The sequence below is a fragment of the Homo sapiens genome, unplaced genomic scaffold, assembly GCF_000001405.40.
Source record: "Homo sapiens unplaced genomic scaffold, GRCh38.p14 Primary Assembly HSCHRUN_RANDOM_CTG27".
NCBI classification, from domain to species: Eukaryota; Metazoa; Chordata; class Mammalia; order Primates; family Hominidae; genus Homo; species Homo sapiens.
Genome location: NT_187505.1, coordinates 80566 through 97216, shown reverse-complemented (window position 1 = coordinate 97216; position 16651 = coordinate 80566). Strand labels below are relative to the sequence as shown.

The following is a 16651-nucleotide window of genomic DNA, read 5'->3' as shown; positions in this document are numbered from 1 at the left end:
GCCCGGCCAGCCACCCCATCCGGGAGGTGAGGGGCGACTCTGCCCAGCCGCCCCTACTGGGAAGTGAGGAGCCCCTCTGTCCGGCCACAACCCCGTCTGGGAGGTTACCCAACAGCTCATTGAGAACGGGCCATGATGACAATCGCGGTTTTGTGGAATAGAAAAGGGGGAAAGGTGGGGAAAAGATTGAGAAATCGGATGGCTGCTGTGTCTGTGTAGAAAGAAGTAGACATGGGAGACTTTTCATTTTGTTCTGTACTAAGAAAAATTCTTCTGCCTTGGGATCCTGTTGATCTATGACCTTACCCCCAACCCTGTGCTCTCTGAAACATGTGCTGTGTCCACTCAGGGTTAAATGGGTCAAGGGTGGTGCAAGATGTGCTTTGTTAAACAGATGCTTGAAGGCAACATGCTCGTTAAGAGTCATCACCACACTCTCTAATCTCAAGTACCCAAGGACACAAACACTGCGGAAGGCCGCAGGGTCCTCTGCCTAGGAAAACCAGAGACCTTTGTTCACTTGTTTATCTGCTGACCTTCCCTCCACTATTGTCCTATGACCCTGCCAAATCCCCCTCTGCGAGAAACACCCAAGAATGATCAATAAAAAAAAAAAGTAAAATAAAAAGTCTAGAAAATATAGAAAAGCAGAATAATGTAATAACCCATCAACCAGAATAAACAGATGTTCACATTTTGTCATTTTTACTTTGTAGGGTTTTCTGGTTTCATTTTGTATTTTGATTTGAGAACTTTATAAAATAAAAACAGTAGGGCAAAGATGAAAAAAAAAATAAAAAATAAAAAAAAAAATAAAGGGGATGCAGCCCGACTGCCAGGAGCGGAGCGCGAGTCGGCCCAGCCAATGCGCATGCGTGAGGCGTGAGCGGCTTCCCCCATCACAGTGGTTCCCACGGTTGTCTTAGAAACCAGTCCCCGAGGCTTGGCAAAGCAGAAGCCCTCCGTGGCAGTGCTTGTGTGTTGGGGCTCTGAGGCTCCGGCCTGACCTCTCCACGGGGGCGACGGGAACTTCTCCAGATGCCAGGAGTCGCAAAGGGCCGACCACCATGAGGAAACCCCAGGCGGGGACGGGGGAAGCAGCACGGGATCCCAGCCTCAGGCCTGCCCGGATGGTGTTGGTTGGGGTGAGTCTCCCCAAAAGTCGTGCCGCCATCCGTGATCTCGAGGACAGGTTGGCCTGCGTGCCCCTGGGCTGCTCTCTCACCTGAGGGTCGTTCTCGTCGTGAGCAGAACCCCGCAGCCTCAGGGGTTGCCGGTGGTGTGTGTTTCAATGCCTCTGCTGTATGACTCTGTGTGTGTGTCTCTGTGTGAGTGTGTGTGTGTGTGTGTGTCTCTCCCATTCTCTCCTCTCTCTGTCTCTCAGTCTCTGTGTGTTTCTTTCCCTCTCTCTGTGGGTTTGTGTGTGTATGCCCGTGTGCGTGTGTGTCTTTGGCCAAATGTGCCCTGTGCGCCACAAAGCGGTTTGTCGCATGGCGGCCTGTCTTTGGTGAGCCTCTTTCTCCATCTCTGCCTGGGTCATGAGGCCGGCTGTCAATCGTTTTCGCCGCGGCAGATCCGCTTTGGGTGTGTGAAAGCCTGGCCCACGTGAGGAGATGCGTTGCTCCTGGAGCAACTGAAATCTCATCCCCATCCTGAGCGGCCTCTTTTCTAGGATCAAGATGAACACACTGCAGCTGAGGACAAGAGCCCCAGAGGAACTCTTTGTCCCACAGGAGAGCAGTGGATCCACGCCAGAGAAGATGCTTGTATATTTTCACGGCTCTTCTCTGAGAAATGAAGCCACACCATGATACAGTCAGCAAGCAATCTAGAGCAAAGGCTTCTTTCAACCCTCCCCCAAGCTCCCAATACAAGCCCAAATTCAGGAACAAGTCCTTTCCAACACCTCCTTCAGAGAGGCTCCCTGGCTCCAGGCAGTGCTTGCTCCCCTCACTGCAGCAGGAAGCCCAGCTTGCGAACTGCAGGTGTGCTCCAGGTGGTCGCTGGATGCAGGGTATTGACAGATGGATCCCATCGATACCACCACTGCATAACCATGTAAACATATCATCCCCCACTTGCACATGAGGAAACGGAGGTCCACAGGGTGGGGAAGGGAAGACATAATTTGTCCTTCAAATGCGATACCGGTGAGATGTGAGAGGCAGCACCCCTCATAACTCAGCGAGGCAGTGGGCACACCAGGACCCTCCCAGGCAGATCGGGTGTGTGGTCGCCCCCATTGCATAGCATGGGCGGGAGTTGGGGAGACCACACATTGGTCTCGCCACCTCTCCACTGGCCCGACCTCCCTGCAGATCCCCAGGACAGGGTTAGCATCTGCTTTCTGGCAGGCTTGGCCACCAGAGGTCTTTGCTTACGTCTAAGTTCCCTGTAGTTGTGGTTCACAGGATAGGGGCTGCTCCTGAGATTCAGCACCACACAGGCACTGCACAGCACTGTGCCATGGTGGTGGGCACTCACTTTCCAGATAGGGCCCAAGTTGCCAGCAGGCATGATGCATCATTTACCCTACCCTGAGTGCAATAGGTGGTTTTACAGAAAAAAACTTGGGCCAGGTGTGGTGGCTCACACCTGTAATCCCAGCACTTTAGGAGGCCAAGTCGGGTGGATCACAAGGTCAGGAACTCAAGACCAGCCTGGCTAATATAGTGAAACCTTGTGTCTATGAAAAATACAAAAATTAGCCAGATGTGGTGGTGGGCGCCTGTAGTCTCAGCTACTCAGGAGGCTGAGGTAGGAGAATCGCTTGAACCCAGGAGGCGGAGGTTGTGGTGAGCCAAGATCATGCCACTGCACTCCAGCCTAGGTGACAGAGCAAGACTCCATCTCAAAAAAAAAAAAAAAAAAGAAAAAGAAAAGGAAAAGTATTTGTAGATGAATGAAGGTGACTCCTTTGATTATTGGAAATGATTTTATTGTAGCCATTTGTCTGGCACTCATTCTGATGGGGTGACATGTGTCCCTGCCTTAGTCAGCAGAGCACAGGAATGTACTACACCTCCCCTCACCTGAGGATTCAGCCCATGAGCAGGAACGCCTGTCTTTGTGTCATACCAATAGAGAGGATGTGTCTGGTTACACCATTCACTGCAGAGGCAGAAATTACCCAGAAAGAAAAGAGAGTCTGTTCCCGGGAGTGTGTTCTTTTGACCCAGCATGGGGGTCATCTCCTTTCCTTGGCCAGGACCCCCAACCTGAACACAGAGGCAGAGAACATGTGAAGGGCTCCCATTCCCAGGTGGTCCAGGGTACAAGCTCTGAGCCTGTGGTCCTAGTCACTGCCCTTTTCTCCACAGCATGGCTGTCACCATCCTGGGCTGGGGCACAGAGGGCTTTGCAGAGATCAGCATAACAAAAGCATCACTGAGATGCTGCAATAGGAAACCGTGATACCTTCGTGGGCTGCCAAGGCAGCCTAAGCTATTTGTTGCTGCACTCAGTGTCCCCAGACAGCTGTGTGGCTGTCACTGCCTCTGGTGTGTCCATTTTACTTCTCTTCTCCTGCCTGAGCTTCTGCTCTGAACTCTGTCTCTAACTTACAAGAAATCAAGCTCACTGGATTCTGAGCTCTTCGGGGTCAAGTACTGTGTCAGTAGTTCATGTCTCTTTCTAGAGATCACAGCTGAGTATCTGGCACAGAGCAGATACTTAGCCAATGCCAAATGATTCATTTGCCGGAAAGCTGAATTTCATCCATAATCCTAGTCAATGCAAATACATTCTGCTGGTGGGGTTTGTTTGTCCTCTGAAGGCATTTTCCCAGGCTTTGTAAACACATACAGGCCATTTAGAAATTTGAATGTCAAAGAGTAAAGGATCTTAGAAAGTAAACATTGGAGAAGTGTGGGAGGGTGGTATTATTTGCAAAACATTCCTGGGTCCTTGTGAGTTCTATACACCCTTGATGAGCGCCAATTCTGGGCCAGGCCAGACACCCAGCTGGACCCAGGAGATACTGAGGTGAGTAAAGCCAAAATGCCTCCCTTCAGCAGGAGGCAGGCAGTTACACCAAAGTGATAAAGGCACAAAACCCAGAGAGAGCACAGGAGCAAGAACTACCTTGTTCCTGGACTGTGTGACCTCAGGGAGAGCTTTCTGCACAGAGGACATCTGTGCAGGGCTTGGAAGGATGAAAATAAATTTGCCTACCAGAAAAGGGAGCCAAGGAAATCCTGATGGAGAACAGCTTGGGTGAGAGTGTGAGCCACAGGATTGAGGGGCACAGGCATGGAACTGGAGGAGCAGAAAGAATGAGGGGGGATAAAGTTGGGAGGTCAGCAGAGGTCAGTCACAGAAGGTTTTGAATCCTGGTGAGGGACCAGTGGGTGCTGCACAAGGGACATGGGCCTGGAGGAGATGCAGTTAGCTCTGAGTGAAGATGCAGCATGCCATCCACTAGGGAACCACAAGATGCAATATAAATAAGAACCCTGAGAAGCCTGCACAAAGGATGAGGGGCCCAGGGGTAGCACCAAGAAGGTCCCTGTCAGAGGCCAGCTTTCAACGGAGACAGAAAAGACTCTTGAGGGCCTCAGCTGCTGCAAACCTCCTCAACAAATCATATTTTACCTTTAAATATTTGCTAAAGAATACTAACTATTGGAAGAGCAATGGTCCATTGATAATAATTATTCCCTCACTCACTGTACATTTTTTACAATTCTCAAAATGCTCTCGGTCCAGTGTCTCATTGGAACCCCCATAAAATCCCATTTTACAAATAGGGAAACAAGGCGCTGTGATGTCACACTGAAGTTTGCAGCAGTTCCAGGATAGAAAAGAGGGAGCACTTTCATCTCAGCCCTTGGTATAAGTCTCAAAGTTCCTTTTCTGGGAGGGGGTCCTTGAGGCCATCCAGCAGCCCATAGTCCAAATCTTCTTTTTCCTCCTTGGGCTTCTCCACACCTGTATCCGAAGCATCCTTCTCCTCCTTTGTTCTCAGGTACCACTACCAGTTGTTGGGCCGGGAGACCTCCTGCTGCTGCCAATCCTAGGGTGCATCCTCCAACATGGGTGCATTGTGGTTCAGCCAGCACCTACACCACCTGCAGCCCACCCAGGGCTCCTGTGGTGGGCCTGAGGTTCCTCCCTATCAAATGGAGATATGCTGGGGTTGCTGCCTTTGCTGAAGCCCATGTCCAGGTCATCTTGGGGGTGGCCAACGGTACAGGGCCCTGGGGACAGGCCAGAGGGCTGCAGGGGCAAAAACTAAAAGGATGAGGGGATCTCTGAGTCAGACCGCCTGGATCCACATCCCAGATACTAGCTGCAAGGCCTGGGGAAGACTGGTTTACCTCTCTGAGCGTCAGTTTCCTCCACTGTAAAGTGGGAGGTATAAAAGATTCACTCCTACAGTTGTCTCTGAGCTTTACAGCCGGTAATGTGTGCAAAGTACTTCGCACAATGCCTGGCACATGGTAGGTGATAATAAACAGGGTTACTATGATATCATCATCTGAGCTAGGTCACTCATGCACTTCTCCAATGCTTCAGGGTTCCCCTCCATCCCTCACAGGGTAGCAGCAAGTGAAAGGGATGCCCCTGGCCTTGAGGAGCTCACATCTTCTCATTTCCCAGGGGTCTCCATCCAGTGCCCACACATGCCTGGCATGCAGTAGGTGCCTCATCCACATCTGGTGAAAGAGTGGAAAGCAGGTCATTGTCATATATTGTTTGCAACCGAATCTGCAGTAGGGGACAGAGAAGTGAGTGACTGTAGTTGTGCCTGCTAGTTCCTGTCCCTGAACTTTCAGGGATCAAGAGGCCTTAGCAAGTCTAGTACCAGGGAGTGGGCACTGTGTGGTGGAGCAGGAGGCAGGTCCTAAGAAAGGCAGTGGGGTGAGGAGAGGAGCTCTGCCTTTGAGGTCTGGGAGATCCTCCACCAGGACCTCACCAAAGGCCCCAGGCATTCATCCCTCCTCCCAGAATCTCTCTATGCTCTTCTGTATAATGGGGCTAACCTGGAAGAGATACATGCAAAACCATGTTCAGAGCAGCATCATCCACAATAACCAAAAGGTGGAAGCAACCCAAGTGTCAATGGATGGATGGACGGATCAACAAAATGCTGTCTATGCATACAGTGGAATAGTGTTCAGCCTTGAAAAGGAAGGAGAGTCCGACACGTGCTGCGTCAAGAATGAACCCGAGGACATTAGGCTGAACAAAATAAGCCAGACCAAAAAGACAAATGCTGTATTATCCCACTTTTCCAAGACACCTAGAGTAGTCAAATCCATAGAGACAGACAGGAGAATGGTGGCTACCAGGTCCTGGGGAGGGTGGGGATTGGGGAGTTGTTTTTAAATGGGTTACAGAACTGTAGTTTTACAAGATGAAAAGCACTCTGGAAATTGGTTGCACAACATTGCGAATGTATTTAATGCCACTGAAATGTAAATTTAAACATAGTTAGACAGTAAATTTTAGTTCATTTTGCCACAATTTTTATAATGGGGTAGTTATGCCTGTCTCCTTGTGTTGCTGTAGGATTTCATGAGATAACATATAAGGAACCACCCAGCATGTTGCCTGGCACATAGTAATTGCTCAATAAATCACAACTGGATGCTATTGAAGATAAAGTTACCTGACTTCTCTGAAGCTTGCTCTTTTCAGTTGAAAATTCTCCCAAAATATATTAGATGAGACCCTACTGTATTATAATGGGTTCATAAATAGCACTCCCCCTTTTCCCTTCCCACAGAGTGCAGTGAATAGAAGACACTTCTCTGCACCCCAAAAGCTCCATGCTGATTGCAAGAAGGAAATGCTGGATGGAGGGCTTCCTGGAACTACTGTGAGGGGTGAGATTTCCCCAGATGTCTAGAAATGACGCAGGGGCCCGACATCTTCCACCCCCACTAAGGTTGCCTTGCAGTTCCCAGCTGGCTCTATACTTCCTAGAAACAGCCACTTTTCTGCCTCCATTACCTCATAGCCCAGTCAGCACCATTATCATCATCACCATGATTGCCATCACCATCCTTACAATCACCAACACTATCATCATGGCCATCACCATTCTTACCCTTGCCATTCTCACCATCATCAACACCAGCATCTTCACCATAACTATCACTATCGTTATCACCACCTCCACCTTCACCATCACCATCCTCACCATCATCATCACCACCATCAAAATGATCCTTGCTACATGGAACCATGCATTCTGGGTAGGAGGGATCTTTGGTCAGGGCATCTAACACATCTTGTAGGATAGAAACCCAGCCCCTCAGGGTCTCACAGTTGGTGAAATAACTGATTCTTGTGAGGTCATATTCCTCTGGGTGATGTGGGATGTCACAAGACCAATAAATATGGGTTGAAGCCCATCGCATCACTTCTTTTTTTGTAAAATAAGCTCCATCTTCAGTAGTAATTGTATGATAGCAGAGAATAAGAACTCAGCAAATGTAAATAATTTGATGCTATGAGAAGCATATGAAGTGGAGTCCGTATTCGGAAATGCATCTATTCCAGTGAGGGCAATTCTTTACCACTTCCATGAAGGAAGGGAAAAAATATTATTACAACATTACCAGAAATCTGTCTGGTCTAGGCAAGGTAGTTCCTCTTTCCAGGGTCTCAGCATTGCTCATTGTCGGCAGTCAGGGCACTCATCTGGGCAGTAGGCAGCACTGCTGCAGGGAAATTCATGTTATTGGAAACATGTAGCATCTTCTCCTGCTACCATCGCCACATTGTCCATGAACCCACTGGGCAAACGATGAGGAATCTGGGAAAAGTTCTCATAACCAGAATATAATCATCCACATCAGGATATCAGCATTCACCCAACACTACTGTCCAATCAACAGATCCAAATTTTCTCAGCTGTGCCCTAAATACATTTTTTTGAACTTTGTAATCCAGGATCCAATCCAGGAGTTCCCATTGCATTAATTGTCATGACTATTAAGTTCCTTCAACTTCAAACAGTTCCTCTGTTTTGCCCTATTTTTCATAAACTTAAGAGTTTTAAAGAGCATACACACTTATGAAGGATGTGTTTACCTTTTTCCATCTGATGTGTTTCCACATCCAGACTTAGGTCATGTATCTTTCACAAGAAAACCACAGAAATAATGCTGTGGTCTTCCTAGGACATCACAGCAGGAGGCACATGATCAAGTTTGTGCCAGATTTCTCCACCACAAAGTCATCATTCTTCCAATTGTAATTGAGAAGTATTTCATATGAAGATATTAATTACACATACACATGAATGTATATTTATATGTAAAATACATACAAAATATTATTTCAATGTCTAACCAATATAAAAGTTATTAATTAGATATGTTTAATTTTATTTCCTACTAAGTCTTCAAAATCTGGTGTGTGTTTTACCCTGACAGCACATCTCACTCCAGCCTAGCCACATTTCAAATGCTCAATATTCACATGGCTGTGGCTACCATATTTATCAGGGCAGCACTAAAGCACTAAAAAACTTCTTCCTTGGAGAAGTTCTAAGCTTTCAAAATGTTTGGCAAATACATTTTATAAAATTCTTCAGAATCCATAAATAGGCAATTACACATTTAGTAAGTCATATAATCCAACATGACATTAAAAATGAATCCCTCGACAAAAAAGAAGGTAGGCAACATTTTCTTCAGACCAAATGGACAAATCAATTATGATTACCTAACATGCCCATTATTATTTATTAACATCCTTCATTAATACCCCCAAACCCCATCAACAGGTAAATGAACAAATGCACTGAGGCCTATCTGAACAATGTCCCAATTCCTTACCATTCTTACTACTTTTGCAAGCAGAAAAGACTCAGTATTAGCAAAGACTATTCAGATAGTTTGTTCTTATGCCAGTAGTTGTAATTTCCTGGAGGTCTATGTGACATCAATTATGTACTTCAATACTTCTCACAAGTACTTTTCCTGTTTGGCCATTTTCTGCAGTATATCCATGCTCCCATTTTCTCTATTCTTTTATTTCTATCCTAGACTTTTCTTTCATCCTATAAATCTTTATCCTAAAAATATTAATTTAAGGATAACATCACAAAATAATATATTTCTTCAGATGATACTCCAAATTGATACCTAATATACAGAAATGACTATCATGGACGTAACCCACAACATGTGAAATGTATGGCTCATTCTACTGACATTATAAAGGAAAGTTAATGACAACTGAATTTCTAGTCATTTTCCACCCAACCAGTTGCTTATAAACTGGCAAGGAATTGTAGGTATGTACACAGTGGCTATTTTTTGGTGGGGTGTTCAGCAACTCTCCTCTTGAGAGCCCCCCTTTTCTTTGGGGACCATTTCAATGAGCACCAACTAGGCCTGACCCAACCTAAAAGCCCCAGCCCTAGAGGTGATCATGATGCCAAGTTCTGGCAAAAGACTCTACCCTTGGATCATAGCAACTGTTTCAGTACTATTTTTTTGGAATCATCAGGAAGGACTCTTGCTTTTTCTACCACTGTGGTATGTGAGGACAAAGTAAAGTGGGTTATTTCTAGTACTATCTCTTGCTACAAAGAGAGAAGAGAGTCATCTTCAGAAGGAAAAAATGAGGCTAAAACAAAAGGAAAAGTGTCAAGAGAAAGAAGGAAAACATTTCTTGATGATTTTATATAAGCCCCTGGGTCCAGCTATGCATGACAGTGACTTGGGTTAAAGCTCTGTCACTTATGGGACCATTGACTTAAATATAAAATAAAGTATTAAAAGCTATGAACTTTGAGATGAAAATAAAGAAAATTTGTAATATTCAATTAATCAAAAACATCTTAGATGAAGCCCCAAAAACCAAATGCAAAACAACAATTAATAAATTTGACCCCATCAAAATTGAGAGCATCTGCTAACTGAAAGATAGTGTTATGAGAACACAAAGAAAACTCAAGGGGAAAATACTGGCAAGTCTCATATCTAATAAGGGATTTGAATCTAAAGTATATAAAGAAACTGTTAAAATTTAATAATGAGAAAATAAGCAAAGAATAAAACAAAAAAGGGAGAAGCAAAAAAATGTGAACATACACTTTACCAAATATATACAGATGGCATGTAAGTACATAGATACTAGATATTATTAGGCATTATGGAACCACAATAAAATACTATTGTACACACATGAAAATGCCTAAAATTTTAAAAGAAGGCCCATACAAAATGTTGGCAAGAGTGTGGAATTCTTATATACTGCTGATAAAAATATAAAATGGTACAACCATTTTGGCAAACATTTTGACAGTCTCTTAAAACTAAACCTAAACCTGTTAACTATTACACTCCTAATATTTACTCAAAGTTATAGGAACTTATGTACATGAATGTTCATTGCAAATGTATTTGTATAAGTCCAAAACCGGAAGCAATGCAAAAACCCATCAACAGGCAAATGGATATATAAGTTGTGACCGATCTGCACAATAGAATACTACTCAGTCATAAAATTAATGACCTATTGATGACTGCAATATAGCTGAATCTCAAAATAATTATGCTGTGTGAAAAATGCCAGACCCCTCCAAAAAAGGGTGCATATTACACTTCATTTATATAAATGTCTACACAAGGCAAACTATTTTATAGTGACAGATTGGTGATTGCCAGGGAGTGTGGTAAGGTAGGAAGATACAGAAAGTTTGGGATTATAAAAGGGCAAGGGGAAACTTTTTTGAGTGCTGGATATGTTCTTTATTTTTATTTTGGTGATGTATTTGCAAGTACATATACAAAATAACACGCAATGGAAGTAGAAACAGTATTTTTGTTCCTTTCTTAAAAAAGCACAATTTACTTACTATTGGGATGTGTGTGCCTGTTGGGCACACAGCACAACTTTTCAAATCTTAAAATCGGACTGGATCTCAACCACTGGACCTTATTCTTATTCCACACTGACTTTAGTACAATACTTGCTTTCTTCGTGGTAATTAACAACACCCACCCTAAAGGTAAAGAAATGCACTTCTAACTAAGTACTTTTGAAACTATGAACTGCCTCAGGCTAGTAGTTCTTAAGGTCTCCAGCAAATGTTGCTTTGTTTCCCTCAAAAATATACAGCCTGGGCAACATGGCAAAACCCCATCTCTACTAAAATTACAAAACTTAGCCAGGAATGGTGGTGCACGCCTGTTGTCCCAGCTACTCAGGGAGGCAGAGGCTGCAGTGAGCCTAGACCTCACACTCCACTTCAGCCTGGGGGACAGAGTGAGACCCCCATCTCAGATACAAACGCACACATACACATACTCACACACTATCCACTGGTGCCCGTCAGTTAAACACAGCATCTCAGGGCACCTTAGCACACAGTGTGAGAGTAGTGGTCCTAAACACTTCAATTAAAAGTGAAACATCTCTGGCTGGATTTTTAGAATATTTACTTTTTAATGTTTTATATTATATTTATTTTTTATGTTTTAATTAATTTATCTGAATACAAGAATCTAGACATTTGGAAGTAAAACAGTGGAAAACATGTCTGAAAACACTAATCAGCACAAAGCTCGTGTTGCTATGTTATTATTGACAGTTTAGTCTTAAGCCAAGAAATATTGCTAAGATAAAAGAGATTTTACAATGTGAGTCACTAGAAAAGTATGCCAATGTTAAATATGTATAAATATAAAATATCCCTTCAAATTATTTACTACAGAAACTGATATAACTAAAAGAAAAATGGACTAATTACAATATAGATTTTAACATACCTTTCAGTTACCGATGGAACCAACAGAAAAAATCCATAAGAGAAAGGGAGATTTGATGAACACAATGAACGAACTTGACATAAACTGACATATACAGAACGCGACACTCAACAACTACTGAATACACATCCTTTTCCAGTGCACGTATCATATTTACCAACATAGATTATATGTTGGAATTTAAAGGGACTCATCAAAGAGTATTCAGTCATGGGATTTTGCCTAAACTTGTCTGGCCTTCAACAGGGTTCAAATACAGTTAAATTCTTATTTCATCTAAAGAGTCCTATCCTTTTTGTTTTGGAAATTTTACCACAACAATCTAAATTTGCATAACAACTGAACCCAGCCCTTGGAACTTGAAGTTTATTCTAGCCAAAGGCAGATTAAACTGTCTAAGTAGTAATGTCCTTCAAATTGTTGTCCCCTGCTCCAGTAATGGAGTATAGCTCCAAGAAGCTAACAGACTATTTGTCCTTCATAGTATACATTCTGTTATATCAAAACACGGTATAAAGCCTTGAAATCAGCAGCAGAGAGAAAATGAGATCAACTACCATCGAGCTGTGACCTCACTACTTAGTAATTACACTTTTAGCTGACTCCTTTACTTGATTCCTAACCGCTTATTTCTGGCAGGGTAGCACTGATATCTGACCAAGCTGACCTTTTAAGAAGTGAACAGAATGAAAAGGCTCTACCGCTAGTGATCAGTTTAACAAGCTGCAACACTAGTCACTGGCTGCAACTCTAGTCACTGGCTGCAACTCTAGTCACTGGCTGCAACTCATATTGTGGGATTTAAGAGCTCAGAATTAACATGGAAATACTATTGACTCCAAAAGAAACCCAGAAATCTCTGGGAATCCAGCAAAGATAAAAAGGGTCCTCTCAATAGTCACCACTCACACTTTGCTTTGTTTTGGTAACTATTTTATTACATACGGAGAATATCAAAAAAGTATGTCTTTTCCTCATTGTGAATGTTAACCCTAAAATGGTAAGGCTCTTGCATGTTGAAACCCCCAGGCTCTCACTGGCCCTTCAACAGAAGGCAGTGAAGTCACCTGCAAGAGTGATTCACCCAAGAGCTTCCAGGCTGGACAAGTTGAGACTCAGTTCTTGCAGTTCCCAAATTCACAGTTCTCTTGGGACATGGTTATTTATCGAGCTCCTGAAGATGAGAAATTCCACCCAGGAAATTCTGTTTATAAAAGATTATTCACATCTAATTATCTCAGGAGACATTAACACAGCAATGTTGAAAATTTTCCATTAATTGTTAATCCACGGAGAAAAACTGAACGATTATTTTTTAAAATATGAAAAGCTTCATATAATACAAATTAAACTCCCACATGTGATTCAATTTCTAGTCATTAATGACAGAGAAGTTAATAATTACGAATTGCCAGTGTTAAAAAAAATAAATCATTCATCATTGGAGAAGTGCAGAAGGTTTAAAAGATATAAGAATTAGTTTTTGGCTTTGAGGCGTTTTATGCTTTCCAGAAGGTTTTGCTCTTTTTTTTATTTTTGCTCATGGCTTTCTCTCTCTCTCTCTCTTTCTTTCTGATTTCAGTTTCTTTTGATTTCTCCTGCTTAGAAATGGTAGAGAACTTTGGATGTGGAACGTGGAGTATGAGGAACACGAAGTGAAGGTCCGCACTTCGGGTGGTCAGCACTGCCATGCCCAGCAAAGGCACTGCCTGGTCCACATCCCAGAGGGGTCTCTGAGCCCCAGTCGGCATCGCAGCTGATGGTGAAACTTTTGGTGTGGCAGTAGAGTGTCTACAAACTTTAGAAGGTATCCGCTGCCTCCTCCATAGCCGTGTATCACTGCCGAGGGCGATCATCTCTAGGATCGGAACGTCCTGCTCATGGGCCAGGGCTGGCTGGCTGGAGCCACTTGCGTGGCGCAGCCCTGGCTGAGGTTCAGGCGGCCCCGGTGTCGCAAGCGGCTGTGAGTGATGCCTCCTTGGGGCCGGAGGGGTCCCAGGAAGGCGGCTGACCAGCGCGCAGCATGGTGGCCGGCCGCGATGGAAGGTGACGGGGTTCGCAGCGCCAGGGGATCCAGCAGAGCCCGAGCCCGGGCATCCCGCGTCTCCAGCAGCACCGCGGGTAGGCCTGGCGCTGGTGACGTGGCGGCCAGTGCACAAGGCCCACGACCCAGCCCCAGAGGCCAGCCCATCGTCAGCTAACTTCAGGAACCCCGGGCCAGCTTGAGGCCCCGGGCCCCACGGGCAAGACAAAGGGCAGAGGGCCGCAGGCGGGGCCAAGAGCAGGCAGTTCAGGCCTGGCTCCACCGCTGCGGAGCTCGCAGGGCGCAGCAGGCACCAGGCAGCGACCAGGGCTTCCAGAGGAGGCTGTGCACCCCTGCAAAGGCTCCTGCCCGGCGTCCGGCCTATCCGTGGGGATTCCACGTGCACCCCCTCCTCATTGTCCTTGTCTAGGGCCGCGGCAAGGTCCTCGCTCCCATGGCGTGACTCCGGGGGCGCAGGAGCCTGGGCCGAGCAGGTGGAGTACAGTGAGCTCCGCCAAGAACCCAGCGAGAGTGGCGCCCCAGGGAGGCACAGGAGGCCGCATTTAACGTGTCAATCATCTCAAAGGTTTTATAGCATCTTCTTTTTCTTGACATCTTATAATATCTGTAATGTCTATTATATCTTATAATTATTAAAACCACTTCATTGTGATTATGATTAGTTTTATACCAACACATCTTCAATTATTAATATTCCCAGTTGCTAGAGAAAAATGAAAACGACTAGTTTTGAAAGCCTTACTTCTGCCAATGGAAGCACATTCCAGCATGTCGCCAACGCAATCCACTTTCCACCACTTTCACAAGAAACGTTACTGCACAATTATACTATCCTACCCTTATATACCTTTTGTGTGTATGTGTGTACTTGTATGCACGTATGTTACATATGATATATATATACACACACACACACACACATATATATATAAACTATGCCAGAGATGAACAAGTATTAGGAAATTAAATGCACACAGATCATATCAGTGCTATGTATAATGTGATGTACTAAGTATAGATGTTCAACAGTGTGGGATCTAGGCTGGAACAAGACTCCTAGTCTTAAGCAATTCTTTCTAGGTTCAGTCTCTGGAAATAATGCTTTGTATCAAATGTGTGAGAAAATTAATGGGTTTTAAAGACTATTCTATGTCAACTATAACATTTCATTTGGGGATTTCTGTCCCTTATAATATCTACCTCATTTTGGATGGATTCCTTGAAGCCTGGTTTATTTTTCTCTTCCTTTCTACACATCGCTGCTCAGAGTGATGAATGGAGTTGTATTTTGAATAAAATAGCTAAGCATCCTTTTGTGAGCAAGGAGCATGATGGTACTTAGACCTACCACTTCTCGTTATGGTGGTTACAGTTACAGTGGGGCTGGGGTGTTTACCTGGAGCCTGGACGTCCACTGGGACTTGATACCCACTGGGATTTTTTTGTGTCAACCTGGTCTCTGATGTCCACCTGGGGAGTGGGTATCCACCTAAGGCCTGATGTTTACCTGGAGCCAGATGTGCACCTGAGGCCTGATGTCTATCTGTGGCCTTATGTTCACCTGGGGACTGATGCACACCTGAAGCATAGGTATTCACCTGGGGCCTCATATCCACCTGTAGTATGGGTGTCAACCTTGGGGCTGATGTTCAGCTGGCGTCCACTGTCTACCGGGGGCCTGGTGTACACATGGGGCCTGGGCATCCACCGGACACTTGATGTTTAATATGGTCTGGAGTTCTCTTGGGGCCTGTTGTATCCTGGAGCCTGGGTGTACACCTGGAGCCTGATGTCCCAGGTGTACACCTGGGTCCCAGGTGATCTTCAGGCCCTAGGTGAAAACTCCAGGCTCTAAGTGGACAACGAGGCCCCACGCTGATGTTTACTGGGGCCAGATGTCTACCAGGCCCCAGGTGAAAACTCCAGGCTCCAAGTGGACTACATGGTCCCAGGTTCCAGGTAGACACTGGAATCCAAATCAACACCAGGCCCCAGATGGACACCCAGGCCTGTGGTGGACATCAGACTCCGGAAGGTCATCTGGCTCGAGGTGTATATCAAGCCCCAGGTGGATACCTAGTCCCCAGGTGGATATCAGGCCCCACTTTGACACCAGTCCCTGGGTAGATACCTAGGCCTCAGGTGGATATCCAGTCTCTAGCTAAGCATCAGGCTCCAGGTGGACCCAGGCCCCAGCTGACTGGGGACTAGTGTTCATCTAGGGCCACATGTCCATCTGGGCCCTGGGTGTCAACTCGTAGCCTGATGTCAACCTGGGAGCTGGTGTTCACCAGAGGACTAAAGTCCTCCTGGTGCCTGATGTCCAACTTGGGACATTGTGTCCACCTGGAGACTGATGTTCACTTGGGACCAGATGTCCAACTGGAGCAAGATGTCCACCTGTAGCCTAGAACTTCACCTAAGGCCTGATGTTCCCCAGGGCCTACAGGGCCTGTGTATCTACCTAGGGACTTGTGTCCAGGTGGGGCCTGAGTTCCATCTGGGGCCTGGAATTAACCTGGGACCTGATGTCCGCCTGAGGCATGGGTGTTCCTCTGGAGTCTGATATCTATCTGGGGCCTGGGTGTCCTCCTGTGGTCTGATGTCCACTTGAAGTCTGGTGTCCACCTGGGGCCTGGGTGTCCACTTGGTACGTGATGTGCACCTGGGACCTGAGTTTCCACCTATGGCCTGATGACCACCTGAGACCCAGGTGTCCACCTGGGGTCTGATGTCTACCTGAAGCCTAGGTAACCACCTAGGAGATGGTGTTACCTGTGCCTTGATTTCTACCTCAGCCTGCTGTACACCTGGGGCCTGGGTGTCCATATGAGGCCTGACGTACACTTCAAGTCCAGTGTCCACTTGTGGC

The 16651-nt window shown here is 45.5% G+C and overlaps 1 pseudogene; it reads left to right on the top strand.

Annotated features, from left to right (window-relative positions):
- The first annotated feature begins 1941 nt into the window (after positions 1 to 1941).
- On the top strand, positions 1942 to 15121 carry LOC102723776 (protein FAM182A-like; annotated as a pseudogene).
- Positions 15122 to 16651: the final 1530 nt, after the last annotated feature.